Below are 20,147 nucleotides of genomic sequence, written 5' to 3'. Positions count from 1 at the left end.
ACTTTTTCATATTTTCACAGCCTGTGACCTTGCCTTTTATGAAATACTAATCAATTTTTAAATTATTTACTTTACCCAATGACATATAATTTTAGCTGGAAACATTCAATTTATGCCTAATATCTCCCAAGTCAGGCAAATATTCTTATTGTTTCCAGATAAAATTAGCTGCCACTATTACTGATATTTTGTAGAAGTAAAAATGAAAGGTGTAAAAACGCAAAAGTTTTAGGTAATTTGTTAATGTTTCATCTATCCCTAAAATAAAGTCATTGCTATTTGGACCAAGTATATTAAGCACTAAAAATCTTTAAAAATCAATATCTTATTAAATTTTTCAAATTTCTAAAATACTGTACAGACCTGAATATGTGTTATACATATTTAATTATGTATGTAAAGTCAGGAAAATTATATTCTTTTTTAAAAATCATAAATTTCAATTCTAATTTTTATGAGAAAATATACTATGTTTAGATAATTTGCTTTGAAGTATCTCCTTTTTGGTAGATATTTTGTATATCTCCTTTAGGTTTTTACATCATTTCTCATTTTTCCATTTCATGGAAAAATAACAAAAGCAAAACAACTTAGTTAAGATTTATAAGCAAGAATGAAGTTGAATAATTGTCTCAAAAATCAGAAAACATCTAAATTAGAGTAAACCTGAATCAATACAGATGTATTTCTATCTACCAGTATGGCCAGAATGAGTCTTTGAATTTAAGAACGTCTATTTTTAAATCTGAATGAAATGGATGGAAAAAGATTCACAAACCTGGGCAAAGCCAATTACCACACTCATTTCTTCCTGATGAGCATATGATATCACTTCAATTTTTTTTCTAGTAATCTCATAGACAACTGCCATGAGTAACAATCACAAACGTCTTACCACCAAATAAATGCCACTTCAGACAAAGCCCTGAATGCCACAAGGGGCACTCAACATTATAATGATAATGCCTCATCATTATCTGATGATTCTCTGATGAGCAACTTACAGGATTTGGAGTCCAGAACTTGGATGGGGGTCCAGAATTTGGACTAGAGTCTGCTCCAGGGAAAGCTAAAACAACCAGTGCTTTTATTCAGTCTGGTCCAAAAGTGGGCCACTTTGGAAAGGAGGACAGAATTCTTAGTTTCACAGAATAGCTGATTCTGTCGTGTCTTCTCACAGGTAAAAACATCATTTTTTGTCATTATACTATTCTGCTTATTAAACTTAAAATGATGCATTCTGAGAAAGAGGGCATACAATTTTACTCTGGTCCTCAATAAAAGTTCTCAATGCCATTTCTAATCCACAGTAAAAGATATAAATATAAAAGCATAGATGAAATAAATTAGATAATCAAATGTAACTACTCAATTGATTTAAGAAAGTCCAAGTTTTCTAGAGTAGTGAAGTCATATCTTTACATAGATCATTTAAAAAGCAAATATTAAAGTGAAATCCATCTTCCAGGATTTAACAATTAGGGAATTTGAAGGGCCCATTCTACTATCTTTGTGGTTTATCTTGTTTACACGTCTTTTGTATCACCCAAACAGATATCAGGAGGATGGGGACTCTGTTTTTCACTTCCAAACCACCTGTCAAAGCGCTAGAATAAAATAAGCACTTAAAAATTAAATCAACTTGAACAAATATATACATGATATCTGAATCTTAAACTTAACACTGAACAAACTTGGTAATGAAGATTATATTAAAAAGATATTATTTAAAGATGTATACAATGATTCTGCAACATTTTAAATCCTCCAATAACTCTATGGATCAATTCTGCTCATCTCCATTTATCTGAATGTATTATGAATATATCTGACTATAGTCTGAATATAGTATGTTCTGAACCTGGGTCCTTCTATATTAAATTTTTTCTAGATCATCTGAATGAATAAGAAATAGTCATATGGAGTTTGAGAAGGTAGCAGGATCCACTGCTTTTTCTTAAATCCTTCCTCGATTTCACAAACAATTAGTGTGCACACTATGGCAAGTATTGGGCAAGACATTGAAGATCCAGATGACGCAAAGCCTTCTCTCAGGGTGCTCGTGGCCTAAAGAAATAAGTTAGGAAACAAAATAAACAAATATAACCTCATACAACGAGGTTTTTCCTGTAGTGAAATAGATTTCATGGGATAGAGAAAAGGCACCTCTGGGTACCACTTTCCCAAAGAAGTAAACTAGAACTTGGTTTGGCAGGTTTTTGTCATGGACAACAGGTAGAGCGGCAGTCAAGGCAGATGGAATAGCAAGTATATCATCTACAGGCAAGAGCAAGTGTGGCAAGAGCAGTGCACAGTGTCTAATGCACTAAAGGAAAAGGCTGGAGAGGATGAAGTACATTGAATAGCAGGCTAATATTGAACTCGAAACAGAATGATGTGGGAAGTCACCAAAATATGTTAGGTGGGGCTGAGATAAGATTAACCTTCCTAGTTCAGAAACACCACTCTGGCCATGTCGTGCTGCCTAGATTGAAGAGTAGTCTGGTAGTATGGCCCTTGCCTTCCTGGGAGTCAAAATACAGTCAAAATATGACTCCTGGGAGTCATAAATACAGCTCACCTATGTCCCTCCTCTTAGTCCCTGGCTTTAGCCATAACTCTCTTAACCCTCTTACTCAGTCTTCCTTACCCACTATTAATTATGTTTGTGTCCACCAGAATTTAGTTCTAACTACCATTAACGAGGTCAAGTATTCATAAATAGACAACTCTCAAATTTCTATTACTTACCCAGGTTTCCTTTCTGAGATCTGAGTTCATCTACTATAAAAGCTATCTTAGCATATCCACTCAGAAATCTCTCAAGGCAACCAAAATTCAACAAATAAAAAACACAACTGATTTCCCTCCCTTTTTACTCATCCTCCACGCTTTCCCACAGTAATTAACTTTTACTGAGTGCTTTTTACGTACTAGGCACTGTTCTAAATGCCTTCCATAACGTTCTTTTATTAAATCTCCACAATATGGCCGACAAAGGAGATACTAATCTTACCTTCCATTTTAGGGATAAGGAAACAGAGACACACAGAAATTAGCAGCTTGCCCAAGGTCACAGTGTCAGTGAAAGATGAAGTCAGGCAAACCCCTATGCTTCTAACCATTATACCATATTCCTTCCTCAGGTCTTTCAGGTAGTGGCACCTCAGATTCACCCAGAGGCTCATTCCAGAAATTTGGAAGTCATCTTTGATGCTTTCTCTTCCCTACTATCTACATCTAAATTATCGCAAAGTCCTAAATATGCCTTCTGATTATTTCCCAATCTATCAACATCTCTACATTTTGCCACCATCTCTTGCCACAAGCTCTCATTCATTCTAATCAATTCGGACAATAACCACAGTGTCTTGAAAAGCAATCTGTTTGGGTACAGTGGCTCACGCCTGAATCCCAGTATTTTGGGACCTTGAAATCAGGAGTTTGAGTCCAGCCTGGACAAGAAAGTGAGAACCCATCTCTTCAAAAAATTAAATAAATTAGCCAGGCATGGTGGCAGGCGCCTGTAGTCCCAACTACTCGGGAGTCTGAGACAGGAGAATGGCTTGAGTCCAAGAGTTGGAGGCTGCAGTAAGCTATGACTATGCCACTGCACTCTAGCCTGGGCAACAGAGTAAGATCTTATCTCTTCAAAACAAAACAAAACAAAAAAGCAAAAACAGAAAAAAAAGAGAAGAAAACTGATTCATGAATTTAACAATTCAGAGAGCATCTGCTATATGTTGTGCACTGTTCTAGGTGCTGGAATTGCAGCAGTGAATATAACAAAGTCTCTGCCTTCACAGCCTAAATCCATGAAGGGAAGAAATATAACACTCAAATAAATAAGTACATAATTTCAGGTAGTATAAGGGCTGTGAAGAGAAATGAAGCAGGTAAAATTAGAAAGGGAAAGCAGATGTGGTGGAGAAAGATGCTATTTGAGTATGCCAACCTGATAAAGGCACATCTCTACTTAACACTCTTCAATAGCATTCCTTTTCTCTTAGAACAAACCCTAAAATTCTTAACATGACTCTAAATAGAATGACCATATGGCTAGGCTTTTCCAGCACACTTCCAGTTTAACAACCATCACCCCTTCACTTTCAAAATATTTCCATTTTGAAGTTTAAGAATGGAATCCTTATACCTAAGGGCCCTGCATGATGATGGCTTCAACCCAATTCTAACTTTAGTTCATTCATCTTCCTCACTTGCTGTCTTTACTCCAACTATCCTGATTTTAGATCTTCCAAGTGTAAGGTTCATTCTGAGTATACAGCTTCCAGAATTCCCTCAGCCTTGACAATTTACCTTCCCCCCTTCACCTGTCTTACTCCTATTTCTCCTCAAAATCAAAGTTTTTCCACTTAGGAGTCTTTCCTTTTTCTTTAGAAATATGACATTTTTTTCCTTGTTGTACTTTGTGTGTTTTCTTTGGAATGCTTATCCCATCACTAATCAAATATTAGCACAATTAATTGATAGGTGATTGCATTCTCTCCCAGACTGGAGGCTTCCTGAGTGCATGGACTGATTCTTTATTGTTCATTATTTTATCTCCAATTCCTAAATAATGTCCAGCATATAGCTATATGCTCAATAAATGTGGTTAGGAAGAATAATAGTGAAGAGGTACAACTACTGGCAGGCAATAGATCAGAAGTACTCAACAGCATGAAGAGTTAATCAGGACATCATATTTGATAGAATTTCTTGCCTAATTGATTGAATATAGTGGAGAGCAATAGGAAGAAGATTAAAAATAACTCTGATTTCTAGCTTTAGCAAGCAAATGAAGGATGCTACCATTGACAGAGATGGGAGATGCAATATAAAGGACACGTTGGGGGAAAAGGATGTGCTATATGCTTTAGACATACTGAATTTGAGATGCCTGTGGGATGTCTAGATAGAATTTGTTATCACTTATAGCAAGATTTATTTGTGTTATAACAATGATATTTTTAACAGAACCTGTGTCACCTCAGGTCCAGAAAAACTTTGAAAAGAGTTACAAAAAGCTAGAAATTCCCATTTGCCTGGTGGAATCCTGGTCTTTATTTTGCCTCTCCAGACTCAGTTTTGCGGAAGCCAGGCACCAACTCACAGAGCTGAGACAGTAGCAGGAGACAGTAGCAGGAGGCAGCAGCTCCCACAGTTTCTGACCCTAGTTTTCATTCCACAAATGAGTATCCTGCTAAGAAGTACTTTGAACAAACAGTAGTAGTCATAGAATACCAAATAATATGGCAGGAAAAAATGTAATTTATGTAAAATATTCAGTTTTTTTATTTAAATATTAATTTTTGAGATCTTTGCTCTATGCACTTATCGTCAGTAGACACTGATACACATCATAATTTGCAAAGTGAATGAAATCAAGTGACCCTTTGACTCCACAAATAGAGCCAAGTGAAATTGTCCCAATAGAAAACTTATCAAATTCTAGGCTGTGTGACATGGCTCACGCCTATGATCCTAGCACTTTGGGAGGCTGAGGCAGGCAGATGGCTTGAGCCCAGGAATTCAAGACCAGCCTGGGCTAATATGGCAAACTCCTGTATCTACAAAAAATACAAAAATTAGCCAGGCATAGTGACTCATTGCCTGTAGTCCTAGCTACTGGTGAGGCTGAAGTAGGAGGATCGCTTAAGCCTGGGAGGTCAAGGCCATAGTGAATGGTGATCAGGGCACTGCACTCCAGCCTGGGCAACAGAGCAAGACCCTGTCTTAAAAAAAAAGAAGAAAGAAAGAAAGAAAAGAAAGAAAGAGAAAACAATTTAAAACTTATCAAATTCTAAAGTAATAGAAAAAAATATGCAAAGCACACTGAGATGATGTCACGAACCTGAAAATAGATTTGTTTCTCACATATGGAAAGATCATTCATGTCATCCATTTGTCAGAGTCCCCCTGCAATATTTGACATTGCTGACTCCTACTTTCTTGAAATCCCTTCTTTTAGCTTCAGTAAAAAGCCCTCTACTTTATTTTATTTTATTGAGACAGGGTCTTACTCTGTTTCCCAGGCTGGAGTGCAGTGGCACAATCATAGCTCACTGCAGTCTTGAACTCCTGGGCTCAAGCAATCCTCCTGCCTCAGCCTCCCAAGTAGCTGGGACTACAAGCATGCACCACCACACCTAGCTCAACTTTCTTATCTTTGTAGTTGCTTCTGTTTTGTTTGCCATCTCTTTTTCTTATCTTGATACATAAAATAGGGGTTTCACTTGTGCTCGCCTCATCTTTTGATATCAAGCCCCCTTCTATTATTTCATTTTCTCTCTTTGTTTAGTTAATATCCTGGATGCAGATCACTCATAAATTAAGATTCCTAACAATGACCTTTCTCTCCAAACCTATACTGCATGTCTAACAACCCCAAATTATCTCCTTCTGGGGCCTCCTTCTTTTCTTCAAACCTCCAAGTCTATAATGAGTTCATCATCCGTCCTTTTAGTCCTGCATCTGCTCCTCTGTGCCTTCACATTACTGTTGATGATACAAGACAGACACATGGGTGCCCCCTCAGATTTATTTCTCTTCCCTGCTCCAGGCATCTAATTAGTTGTTAAGTGTTTGCTTATTCTAATGTTGCCCTCATCTTTCTCTTTCCCCCTACTTTCACTATCTCCTATTTACTTCTTCCTGGAACTACTACCTCCATCTCCTCAATGGCCAGCTTGAGTATAATCACAAAGTGAGCACTTGGCATCATGACCTGCATTATTACATTTATTACCATTAATGGCATTCCTAATCATATTATGCCACTCCTGCAATTAAAATCCATCAGTGGTACCCCAATGCCTACCAAGAATTTCCCAAACCCTTTACAGGTTATTTAAAATCTCACATTCCTTTCTTGATCATTTCATTGTTTGCTCTCTATGTGCCAGAAAAACTGAATCACTCACCATTTTTTAAATGTCTATAACTTACTCCATTATTTACATGCCTTCGTTCACAATCTTCCCTCTTTCTACCCTTGTCAATGTTTTATGTGTACATACCCCAATTTTACCCATTTTAAAGCCCAATCCAAATGTCACCTCAACAAAAAGACTCCTCAATTGTTACAACCAGAGGTATCCTTGTCCTCCTTTAAAACAAACAAAAAATACCTTATCTGAATCCCTTTATGCTGATTAACATATTCTATTTTTGTGTTACAGTTATTTATACACATGCATTATTTATTCCAATAATGGGTCCAATACAGGACCAATGTCAAACCCATCTTCATAAAAATCCCATATCCAGAGAACATGTTCAATAACCACCCATGTGCTTACATTTAGAAAAGCAGTTCTCCTTTAATGACAGGAAACATACTATATTTAGGAGGAACAAAGTTTTGTTGAGAGCCCAAAGTTTAACTTTTCCTCTACCCTTCACCAGATACTTGACTTTTGGAAGTTACTTAATTCTTTGAAGGCTTAATTTCTTTTTTAAAATGTGGTTAATACAACCTGTCATATATTTTTTATCAGATTAAGTGAAGCAGTATAATATAAACTGCTACGTGCAGGTATCTAATAACTTTTGGTTCCCTTCCTATCTTCAATATATGTGTGGTAGGTCTCTAAGATGACTTCAATACCCACATACAGCAATTTTAACATGTGCTGGGATAACAAGAACACAGAAGAGGTGGGAGAAAAAGACCTACCAGGAGTTCCCAAGCTGTGTCTCCGATTTATTAGGGCAAAACTGAGCAAAACAAAAGAGCTCACCTAAATAATCTGTCCCAACCCAGCAATGTTTACACATCATTAACACAAGAAGCAAGAAAATGGAAGGAGTGAAACCAAATCTCATTGAATAAATGCAAGGTGGTTTAAAGCGCTTTTATACCACCTATCTCAATCTCTATTTTACTGTTAAGAAAACTGAGTCTCTGTAAAATTAACACATTTCTGCCACTTATTTAGTAATAAAGCTGGAATGCAAGCTTAGGCCATTCTAATTTGTATGTTCATGTCACGCAGTGTCACGTTGTCTCACATACACACATGCACACATACACACACACACACACACACACACACACACCCCTTTATGAGACAGACAAAGGAAGAAACAAATTCTGATTCTCTTAAGAGGCTGTGTTTCCTCAGGTTTTGATTGAGTAACTGAGTGTTAGGGAAAAAAACTACATTAATTAAACAACTGACATTGGCCAAAAACTGTGCTGGCTAATAGAATGTTGCAGACTGTCTCTTGAAAAAGCACAGGTTCCATTTTCTTGAGATAATAAATTATTTAAATAGTAATTGAAAAGTAATAACAATACCATTTGTACATTCAAAAAGTACTTTTAAAAATTATAATATTATATAAATCAATATTTAAATTAATTGCTCTCAAAATATTCTCCTGTGTATTATTTTACCTGCTAGCCTCCACTCTATGTAAAAAGGAAAAATAAATTAAATTTTCTATTATTATTTTAAACCTATAGATGCTTGTAAGGTCTGCAAATCTCATGAGATATTTGTTATTAACCAATAATATAGGCATTCAATACTACCCACAGCCCATGCAGCCCAAGGCCACAAAAATAATAGTGTTTTTGCTTTTCAGGCAATAACTGAAATTGGATATTTTTTAAAGAAATAATATTCATATATTTAAGTTACATGTGAGATAAAAATTAAAACCATGCTTTTGTGTCATGGAACAGATCGTTTTAAATATCAAAATTGCAGTTACTTTTGAATAGTTCTTAATGGCCACACAAATGTGTTGGTTTGATTAGGCTCTCAGCAACCACCTACCAGCAAATCATATTAAAATGGAAGAAAACCCTATTTGCTAGAGAGAGACATTAAGACATTAGAGCATATTTTGCAACAGAAAGCCCAATTACCTATATAAAATTTTTGACATCAGTTGGCCTAAATGATCAATTTTTTATCTTTTTTTTCAAGCACTTGTTCAACAAGATTTCTTAAAAATGTGGTGGTACTATTATTATGTATAATCATTTTTCAAAGTTCCCCTATTTATGTATAATACTTAACACTCCTTATGTTGTAGCCATTCCTTCTATCACCGAAGGATATTAGATACATTAGAAAGGTTTTCCTGGTTTCTCTTAGCTCTGTCTTTAAGTATGGTCATATCATACATCTCCTGTGATGAAGATGAAAGCATGGATTTTTGAAGTGGGATAGACTAAGTTTTGGATGCTTCTTCCTTAATTAATGGCAGTATGGTCTTGAATGAAACATCTAACTGCTGGGCCTCAATTTCATCATCTTTTCTTTTTTATTAAGACTTGTAGTAACTGCCTCATGGGGTTGTTTTGAAGGTTAAATAAAATAATATTAACAAGTGTGCCATACCTAACGGTACTGTGCCTGGCAATGCAATAGACAGGAAATAATCTGTTCTGTTCCCCTTTTTGTGACAGTTTATTTTCTGACGTTTTAATTCCTTTAACCTAATGAAAATGGAGTCATAATATAGGAACAGTGACATCATTGTTATATTTCAAACTGCCACCCAATTTTGGTTCCATACCACTTAGAAGTGATTTCTGCTGGGATTATATCCTAAGGCCATTTATTGGGGAAATAAATTTATTTCATTCAATATATATTAACCTACATGTATAACATTAATATTTGAGTAAAGCTACATTTAATATTTACCAGAAAAAAAGAGGCATAAACCAAGCTATAGCCTCTGTAATTAATTCATTCTAAGAATTTCAGCATATCTAAAATTTTATATAATCAATAGTCTTCATACTTTTCATAAAGAAAAATAGGTATAGTTAACATTTACGATGATTTTTTAAAATCGTGCTTTCTGGTAGAACTTTGCACAAGGATTTATTATTGCATTTAAGTAGTGTCTCAAGGTATAATTTTTATGGTCTATTAAGCATAATTCTCAAGCACCTTTAACACAACTAAATGAGGTGGAATTACTATTAACTTGTATTTTAGGTTACCAAGTGCCCAGGCAGTTCCAAACAACTATATCCGGAATGGTATTTTATGACAGCTCATGACTTTCTATGTTGAGCTTCCTTGACTTAAAATTTTTACGAGATTGAAAACTGGCCTCTGAGATGGTGCCTGAAAGTTGGGTCATTAGTCCTCACCTTTTAAGAAATAATGTCTCAGCAGGTTGTATTTGAACCACTTGAGCTCAAGGAGGTGTTAACAGAGTTGTTAATTAACCTAGGTCTGGAACCTACTGTGAAGAATCCCAGAAAGTTGGAACAATAGGGAGGCACTGCTTAACCTACAGCATGGAAGAAATGACTTTTGCTTTAATAATATAACCGCAAAAGTTACACAATAGTAATATGAAGTTAAACAAAGAATGGCAACGTGAAACTAACAGTCAGAGGTCGGAGCAAATTTACAGAAAACCAGCTGGAGTGAAAATGTACGGAATTGGACACTTTTGAAATGTACTGGTCCTTTTGAAGTGATCCTTGTCTCCATATTTGAATAGAAATGAGTAATAAAATAAATCTGAAAATAACATCTCTTTTATACTCAAGATTCTAATTAGATCAATGCTTTGCTTAAATCTATCAAGACCATTGTTTTCAATAACCCACAAGGATGGAGATTTCATGGCTTTCCTTGGTAAGCATGTACCAATGTTTAATCATCCAGTTACAGTTGAGATCTCAAGGTGAAAATGATCTCTCTATAATTTCTCTGTAAACTCAGCTGGTCCGTGAAACTAGAGAACTGACTAGCATAAATAAACACAAACAAACAAATCTCTCAGATTCTTGAAAAAAGTTACTAAGTAACTTAAGTAGTATCTTAAGGTATAATTTTTATGGTTTATTATTTACCTCTCCAGACAAAGTAATCTCAATTAGTCATCTCTCCAGACAAATTAATCTCAATTGTATTGGCAATTTCCTTTGAGAAACTGCTTACAGTATTTAAATCAAGTTTGTATTATTTTCATAGTTCTTTGTATAGTCTTTTGAAGATATGTAATCCCAAATTCTTTTTATATAGGAGATGACCAATGCTAAGAGAGGACCCCTGTTGCAGTCTAAATGCTCCAATATTCCCTCCATTTTGTTGATGTTGTTGAGACCAAACCATGTGATGAGAAAAATAAATGATAAAGATTATGAACATATGAATATAAAGTTTAGCTGCTGTAATAAAAACATCAGAATTAATGTGATCCATATCCAATGATGTATATCTTTAAATGGTGGATTGCACTTATGGTAACTTTTAAACTAGAGAATCTACAACATGCATTATTATTACTAGTATCAGCTGTAATTGGATATACATTTTAAGCAGCTTATATGTTTTTCTAGTTAATATTTCCTACGCCTATAGCACATTTTTTCTTTTTACTTTTTTCCTCAACAATCAACTGTAATATTTATGATTTTCCCTAGAAAAAGGCTTATTTACAACCATTATCATATATAATAATACATCACTTGTTTTTCTGTTTGTTTGTTTGTTTTGGAGACAGGGTCTCACTCTGTCACCCAGGCTGGAGTGCAGTGGGGCCATCACGGCTCACTGCAGCCTCAACTTCCTTGTCTCAAGTGATCCTCCCACCTCAGCCACCTGAGTAGCTGGGACCACAGGTCCATGCCATCATGCCCAGCTAATTTTTGTATTTTTTGTAGAGACAGGGTTTTACCACATTGCCCAGCCTGATCTCCAACTCCTAGGCTCAAGTGATCTACTCACCTCAGCCTCCCAAAGTGCTGGGATTACAGGCATGAGCCACTGTAATCACTTTCTTAATCTTATCCTTCCACTGCTAATGATTCTAAACACATCCTGCTTTTTCATCTAAGGTCCTTATCGCTGAAGAGTCTCAGGCTTTGGAAACCTGGAGCTATCAGACGGGAACAGCCCAAGTACGGCAGGATGAGAATAGAGTGGAGTGACAACTGGATGGCTATATTAAAAGTAGCAAAGCTGAGGCCCTGTTATGGGACGGTGGCATAGAAGAAAGAGAAAACAATGACAATGGTGTCTCTTCCTCAACATCTGGATGCCGTGAGGGGATAAAAATGAGAAGAATGAGATTTAATAAAGATGACAAAGATATTGAAAGGGGAATCCTGAGAAACTCTTCGATCCAGCACCTCAAAGCAGTAAAGTGTCAAGGACAGATCTTAGTGTGTTGGTATTTCTAGAGAAAGAATAATATCTCTTTGCTTCTCAAGTATCTTCCTCTTTATGTTCATTATTATCAAGACCTTATTTGGCAAGTGGCAATTGCTTTAATTCTATTGGAGAACTGGAAGACCTAAAACTGTTACCTATTGAGAGAGTCAATACGATGATTACAATATGTTTTAGGCATAGTATAAAAGATGACTACAGATTGGCATCTATAAGATTGACTGTATCTTTTCTCTAGGAAAAGATAACACAAAGATGAACTCAGGAGTTGTAAACATAAATTAGCTCTGTGTATATTTATTTGAACTGTGACGAGTAGTGTAATAATTGGTAATTTTAAAAAATTTGGGGTAGCACACTTTAGGAAAACATATTCATTTGCTTTTATGGCATATTTCAGATTTCCTGGCTTTCACATGATGAATTCCTACTAGCATATCCTAATTCTAGTATTATACATTTTTAAATATTGCAGAAAACAATCACTTTAAACTTAGAACTTACAAAATATTGTTCACATACTATCTCATTTGATTTTCACTAAAAGTCAATATGAATGTCAGGGAGATATTAACTTCTTTTTATAAATCTGACTTCCTGTACTATTACATGTATTCTTCACTATTTATGTTGTTGCTAGAAGTTCTTATGCCTAATAGAGAAATAATTACTGTACTCTATACCTTTTTCTTTTCTCCTGACTTCATACTTCCTATAATCTCCAAGAGGCTATATCTATAAATCCCTAGAATATAATTGGGTGTCCTGGACCAGAAACTAGTCATACTTTCTTTGTAGCACTAGTGGGGATGGTGTCTTACTCATTCATGATGGTATCTATTAGAACAAAACACTCTCTTGTAAAGCAACTCAATCTGTTTTCATTGAACTACTGGCTGTCCTCCAGAGGAGTAGACCCACTCCAAGAAAGCATTCTAAAAATCTTGATTTTATTTGTTAGTAATTTTTCTCCAAATGACCTTTCAATTTTTAGAGTATTCAACCCAGTGATAGTAGTACTAAGCAGCCCAAACAAGACAACCCAATGCAAGTATTCTCAAGTGATCCTATTGTAACATGCTTCCTTCTGCATTTCTCTATGTACAGAGGCAAAGAGATTGCCCTAAACATCAGGCCAGAAAGCAGTCAAAGTGGAGACATTTGCTTCTAAACCTCATTTATTTTGAAAATCAAGAGGTCTTCTCTGTAAAACATCCCAAGATTAGAAAATCAAATAATTTTTCAGCTTGACTATTAAATACTTTTCCTTCTATTTTAAAACACATGTATTGTTTAACAAATGGTTTTCATCTCTATGAGGTCCAAGGATCTCTTTTTACATTCCTCCCTTACTATACTGAAGTAAAATAATATATAACATTATCTATTTACACATAGAATGTATATAAATCAATATAATAACCTAACTGTAATAAAGGAGAAGTAAAAGAAAAGAAATGTAAAATATAATATATAAGTTTATTTCACTTTGGAAAAGCTGAGGCATGGCCACTACATGTAATGAAGCAGCCATAAGCTTGCACCCACATGTAGCATTGCCATGAATTTACAAGGATAAATAAACACAGTTTCAAGTGTATTGCATGGGCAACTCACATTTCATGAGGAGGCTACCTATTGGTGATATAATTTTTCAAAGTGGTAATTAACTCTTACTAAACTACCAAACAAAAACAGCATCTTCTCTTGATGTACCTGATAGTTGCATTCCTGAAAATTTTAGCATATATCAAAACTGTGTTAAAAAATACTTTATGTATAAAACAGTGTTTGGTTATAGGTCTAATGAATATAAACAAGTTTAATCACTTAATTTGAATGCAGAATGGGTTAACTGAAATTGGGATACAGGACACTTTTCCCTTGTGATGGACTCTCACACATTATAGCTGTCTGGTGGACGTGAACCCCACCTAAGAAATGTGTTTAGTAACTAACTGGCTCTCAATAGAGAGCCAGGCTAACTTTTTTTTCTCTTTTTTTTTTTTTTTTTTTTTTGAGGCAGGGTCTTGCCCTGTTGCCCAGGCTGGAGTGCAGCCGCCTGATCACTGCTCACTGCAGCCTCAATCGCTTTGGCTCGAGCAGACTCTCCCACTTCAGCTTCCCAAGTAGCTGGGATGAAGGCATGTGCCACTATGCCCAGCTAATTTTTTAATTTTTTTGTAGAGAAGAGATCTCCTTATGTTGCCCAGGCTGGTCTGGAACTCCTGGACTCATGTGATCCTCTGGCCCTGGCCTCCCATAGTACTGGGATTACAGGTGTGAGCCACCCCACCTGGCCTCAGACTAACTTTTCACTCCCCACACTTCTTGTGAGTCAGAAAAGCTTTCCCTATCTCCTCAGAGTAGGAGATTAAACTCTTCCATTACACACCTTCACAGCTCCATAATGCATGCCTCTTTCACAGGACGTATCATAATTTTAATCAGATACTGTATGTGATTTTGTGATTTTAAGTATTTGTCTCTACTCTCAAACTGTACCTCCATGAAAGCAAGTAAGTCTGTCTGTTCGACCCTGTATCTTCAGTGCCAAACTTGTCCTTAGCACATTGTAGATGCTCAATAGTAAAGACATATTAATAAAGGAATGAATAAAACAATTTGTGTCTGCTCAAAGGCCGCAATCCACATGCCATATTGTTTCATGGAGTGAGATGGTGGGATGCCAAGATACTGACCTCCAAGTATATGTACCTATTTATTGTGTGGAATGGTAGGTACATCCTTAGAAATCAAAGGAAAACAAGAAAAGGTCTTAGGAGAAATAATAAAAAATAATCACCATGAGAATGTAATTTTTTCTTATCTAATGAACTTCATGTGTATTCTTGAACACAGCCTAAAAAAATTATGGGATCTTTAGATTCTTATTAGTGGACTGGGTGATTGCTTAAATTGCCAAAATAATATTTTAAAGGCACTGAATGACCATATCTATGGTTTCTGTAACTAAAAATAACAACATAAGCTTAAAGCAACATGTCTTAAAAAATAAAGAGTTGATCACTTAGATCATTTACCTGTCTTAATACTGTATGATATTTTCAAACCCTCTCATGGAGAGTATTTATTTTATTTATTTACATCCCACTTCATTCCACCAAGGATATGATGTATAAATCACAAATTAAACATTTCTACTCTTGGTAAATATTAAACAAGTTATTTTTTATTTCCATCTTGAAATTGAATAAAATTCAAAAAATTAAAACTCAAATGACTAAAGGTTAAAATATCTAATGTTATAATAATAAATCTAATCATTTAAATGTATTTCCAAACCTAAACTTAGCCAGATGATCAATCACCATTTCTGCTCTTCCAGATGGCTGCAGTTCCATCTCCTAGAATAATGGAGTGCTCAAATCTTTGATAGTTAATTGTACTGGATTACTGTTTGGCAATCAACCAACTCCCTGGCCTGGGGGCAGATCATTTTATTTAATGGTTCATCACCAAGACCTCACTAGCATGACAACATAGATCACTATGCTATTGATGCCAAGAGAGTGAAAAGCTGAGAGTCAGCCTATCCCACCCGGGAGGAATTACACTTAATAAACTACCCAGGTAAGTGGTAACCAAAATGAGTAATGATTAAGACCAAGAGCAAATTAAGTAAAATAGCAAACGGGGGAATAGATTTTTTTTATCACCTTTACTTTATAAAATCATGTGTTACCTAGTTTAACATTTCTTTCTAATATATAATTTGGCTGAAATATATAGGAATAACATCTATGGAAGCATAAAATCAAATGAACAAAAAGGATAATGATTTTTAAGGTTTAAGGTTTGAGCAGTGAGTTTTACATTTTTCACCAAAATTGGACATTTTATTTTCAAAATGTAAATATGTATGTAAAGAAAATCTTTCTTGAAGTCATTTTGGAAATGATTTTATTTTGTGGAAAATATTTAATCCACATACCAGTATTGTATCACTGAAAACTGATTTTTCTATTTATTTTCAAAATACATTCCCAGATGTATTTCACATATAAGCCTGAATGCCTCAAGACTGGGGAAAACAGTTGTTTAACAGGGAACAACCAATGAAGGTGCCACAGACCTCTCACTAGACTCTGTTTTCAAGCTCAGGAGTCATAAAAATAATAAAACTCTCTTATGACTGGGCACAGTGGCTCACACTTCTAATCCCAGCACTTTGGGGGGCCAAGGCAAGTGAATCGCTTGAACCCTGGATTCGAGACCAGCCTAGGCAACATAGCAAAACCCCATCTCTACAAAAAATACAAAAATTAGCCAGCCATTGTGGCACAGACCTGTAGTCCCAGCTACTTGGGAGGCTGAGGCTGGAGGATTGCTAAAGCCTGGGAGGTCGAGGCTGCAGTGAGCTGAGATCGTGCTACTGCACTCCAGCCTGGGTGACAAAGTAAGACATTGTCTCAAAAAAAACAAACAAACAAACAAACAAAAAAACTCTTTTATGATAACATTTGCCCAAAAACCCAATCATGGCTGAGAGGAAAATACCTGTTCTTATGCTTGATATTAAGACCCAGTAAAAATCTCATTGTCTTTTTTTATTGTTTATAAATCACTTATGCATTTACGCATGTTTCTTTATTTTGAGGTATCTTCCCTATCCTCCTTGGTAATTTTTCATGTACCTTTCAGAGCTACAATTGAAAGTTGTCTTACTTGAGTCCCTTCCAGTGCTCAGTAACATTCTCTGTCCTCTATGCTCCCAGAAAGCATTTTTCATACCTGTTTCTCCACTTACCATATTGTGCCATCATTTACTTGTTTTCATGCCCATTTCTTCTATCAGAGCCCCATGAATGAAGAGACTGTGTTCCTTCCTTGGTATCCTCAGGACTTAAGACAGTTCCTGGCACATATTAAGAGCTCAATATATTTGCTGGAAATGAACGAACAGTGTTCTATAGACAAACTATGTGCCTTAACAATGATAATAAACCTCATGAATGAAGGTATCTGCGCTCAGAATCTAAAAGGACCTGACCTCTGAGGACCACTAGGGACATCCCTGGTCCACCATCACCTGCTGGCTCAGGGCTGCCGTATGTGGAGGAGCCTCTTGCTACGCACTAAGACTCCCTTCATTGTGCACTTCAGCATTCTACTCCCACGCTCATCTTTAATCTTCCTTCTCTCCTGGGCTCCTCCTACCCTGCCTATTCTGAGCAAGAGACATAGGCATGGTGCCTATTTTGTAAATCAGGAGGACTGTGTTCTAACTCAAGCTCTTCTCAGTTATTTACAGGAACTTAAAACACTTTTCTCTCTGCACTTTCCTCCTCATTTGCAACCAAGGGAGAGCGGTTGGGGTGTGGGAGACCATGAGAGTAGAATGGAACAGACCTGGGCATAAACCTTCCATGCCCATGGGCAAGTCAAAGAGCCCTGGAGTTTAACAATAGCACTCCCAACTTCATCTTAAAAGTCTCCAGTGGTTGACCATCACACTCAGAATAAAGCCCCTCACTGGGCATGGAAGATCTTTTGTGGTGGAGCTACAAAATTTTTAGAGACTGGTCCTCTCAAACAATGTGTTACTAGCCTCAATCAACTAGGCACAAGTCCCTTTTTACCTCCATGTTCTCACTTCTGCACATTTACTAACTCTGTTCTCGGGCGCCACTGCCATTTCCATCCCATATTAATTTTGTATACCTCTATCATAGCTCTTGTCACACTATATTGCAATTCTTTTTGTCTGGCTTCCACTTTAGACTGCGAGCCCAGTTAGAACAGACATGTTGTGTATGTCATATCATTTGTGCCCAACCTCGTGCCTCTTGTGTCTAGTGTCACTTAATAAAGTTTTCAGGAGAGAGAAATTACTGCCTGGAAACCCCTGCTTGACAACTATTCAAATTCCTGAGATAAGAGTCGGCTGCGTGTGTATTGATTAAATATGGCTATATCATGGTAAATTCTTTCACTGCTATTGGAAAAATAAGCCAAGCTGTGATCAATTAAGTAAATGCAGAGGAAAATATGATATTAATTTGGGGATATATAATAGACACAATAACCTTTTTTAAAAATTTGGCAATTTATACCCTGCTTCTTTTAATAAAGGATGCAAGGAAACACATCATGGGATGAAAAAGAGAAAAAATCAGAAATATGCATGCAATAAGGACCTTTATAGTTGCTATAGTTTAGCGTAAATTTGGACCTTTGCTGCCTAGAAAAAGGTAAGACACTGGGAAAAGGGAAAAGACAGACATTTATAGTAACATAGATTCTAATCTTGTAGTTGACAAGAGGGCAATTGTGATAGCTTTGACGAAATGATTGAGAAAAGTTGGCAATTAGACCATTTGAAAAAAAATGGTAATAGATGGTATATGCATGTATTAAACTAAAATGAACTAAAATTAGACAAAATATATTATAAGGCATCTAACATCAGAAATTTCATTAACAGCCAACAAAAATCACATTGTTCCTTTTACAATGTATGAGCCTCTACCCACCCATCCCAACCTCAATCTGGTCTCTCTGTTTCTTGCTCTAGAAATCAGATATTTAACCTAGTTAAAAAAAAATGTGTCTTGAACAAAGGCTAAAAGAAAGTGGTTTACCTTTTTAAAAGTGAAATTATTCAATAGTTGGGAGGAAATGGAGAGATACTAAATAAATTACACTAGCATGTGAAATAAACATTTGATTTAACTGAAGGACAAAACAATTAATTTCTCTTGGATGACTATACTGTTCATCAAGCCAATAAAAACATGAAAGATAAAAATGACATGACGACGTCCCTACATGATGGCCTTGAAAAGACAATGCCATCAACAAGCACTAAGACAACTGTACTTAAATGAATCTGCACGAAAGAAGTAAGATTCTTCTTTGATGATTTCTTCAAAAGGACTTGACTTTGACACATCTTCTGGTGTTCTAACTTAATCCAAAGAATAACATGGAACTCCTACGAAGCAAGTTGATGGAAATAACATTAGAGAATGGCTGGGTTGTGAGGGCTGTGAGGATATTTTGAGGTCACAGTGACAGAGAGAAGAGAATGACCTCTCTCATATTATCAGTATACAAAAAATGAGATCATTATAGCAATGCTGAGCTTAACCACATACACTGTAAGATCTAGACTATCTAGAAGGCAACAAATGATACTTGCTCAAAGAAGTCGCAAAGGCTCTGTTGTGATACTAAAAAGGCAAATACAACTAACTAATAATGAAAAAGATCAGACAATTTCAACACAAAGTAATATTTTGACAAGCTTTCATCGAGCAATTTCTGTAATTGTTGGTGTTACTAATAGAATGTTCAGCCTTTCAAACAGTATCCATACAATGTCACAAGCACTAGATTTAATTTTTAATAAGCATGCATGTAGCCCATCTTGTAACATATACTGAGAATAATAATGTTTAGCCGCGCTTTTATATTACCTATGGCATCTTGTCCTGGTTGATGCCATAGAAGACTTAATGAAGACTTGTTAATGAAGACTTAACTAATAGTCAAAAAGAGGAAAGTAATATGCATTTCTCAAGAAAAGAAAAAATATTTCCTAACATTTAGATCTAAAAAGGCAAAAATCACGAGACTAATAATTTGTATACATAATAATTAAAACATTCCTGCACTGAAAAGATCCCCTAAATTAAGTTACCAACAAAGAAACTGGGTAAAATATTTACACCATATATAACAACGGGCTAGTATTCTCAGTATATAAAGATTCTAATACATCAATAAGAAAAAGACAAATAACTCAATGAAAAATTGTGCAAAGTATGTGAACATACAATTCATTAAAGAATATAAAGTTTGACCTATTAGTTAAATAAATACAAATTAAAAATAATAAATACATTCATTTCTTATTAGAAAAGATTTAATAGAATGGCAACCCACAGGGTGGCCCAGATGTGGACATTCTCCAATGTTGATGGTATTATGTAAATAGGCCTTATCTATCCAGAAGGCAATTTG

At 35.7% G+C, this 20,147-nt stretch overlaps 1 protein-coding gene across 2 annotated transcripts in view, besides 1 other annotated feature; it reads right to left on the bottom strand.

Annotated features, from left to right (window-relative positions):
- Positions 1 to 20,147, bottom strand: part of ZFHX4 (zinc finger homeobox 4) — a 186,035-nt gene that overhangs the window by 92,176 nt on the left and 73,712 nt on the right. The gene's annotated exons all lie outside the window — the stretch shown is intronic.
- Positions 9,729 to 10,672: an enhancer, noted in NCBI's record as "OCT4-NANOG hESC enhancer chr8:77676670-77677613 (GRCh37/hg19 assembly coordinates)". NCBI's record gives its function as "activates a minimal SCP1, AML or CMV promoter by ChIP-STARR-seq in primed H9 embryonic stem cells {active_cell/tissue: H9 hESC(primed)}" and the evidence as "EXISTENCE:reporter gene assay evidence [ECO:0000049][PMID:30033119]".

This window comes from Homo sapiens, chromosome 8 (assembly GCF_000001405.40).
Source record: "Homo sapiens chromosome 8, GRCh38.p14 Primary Assembly".
Taxonomy (NCBI): Eukaryota; Metazoa; Chordata; class Mammalia; order Primates; family Hominidae; genus Homo; species Homo sapiens.
The sequence above is the reverse complement of the archived record's forward strand: the minus strand, read 5'-3'. Positions and strand labels throughout refer to the sequence as shown.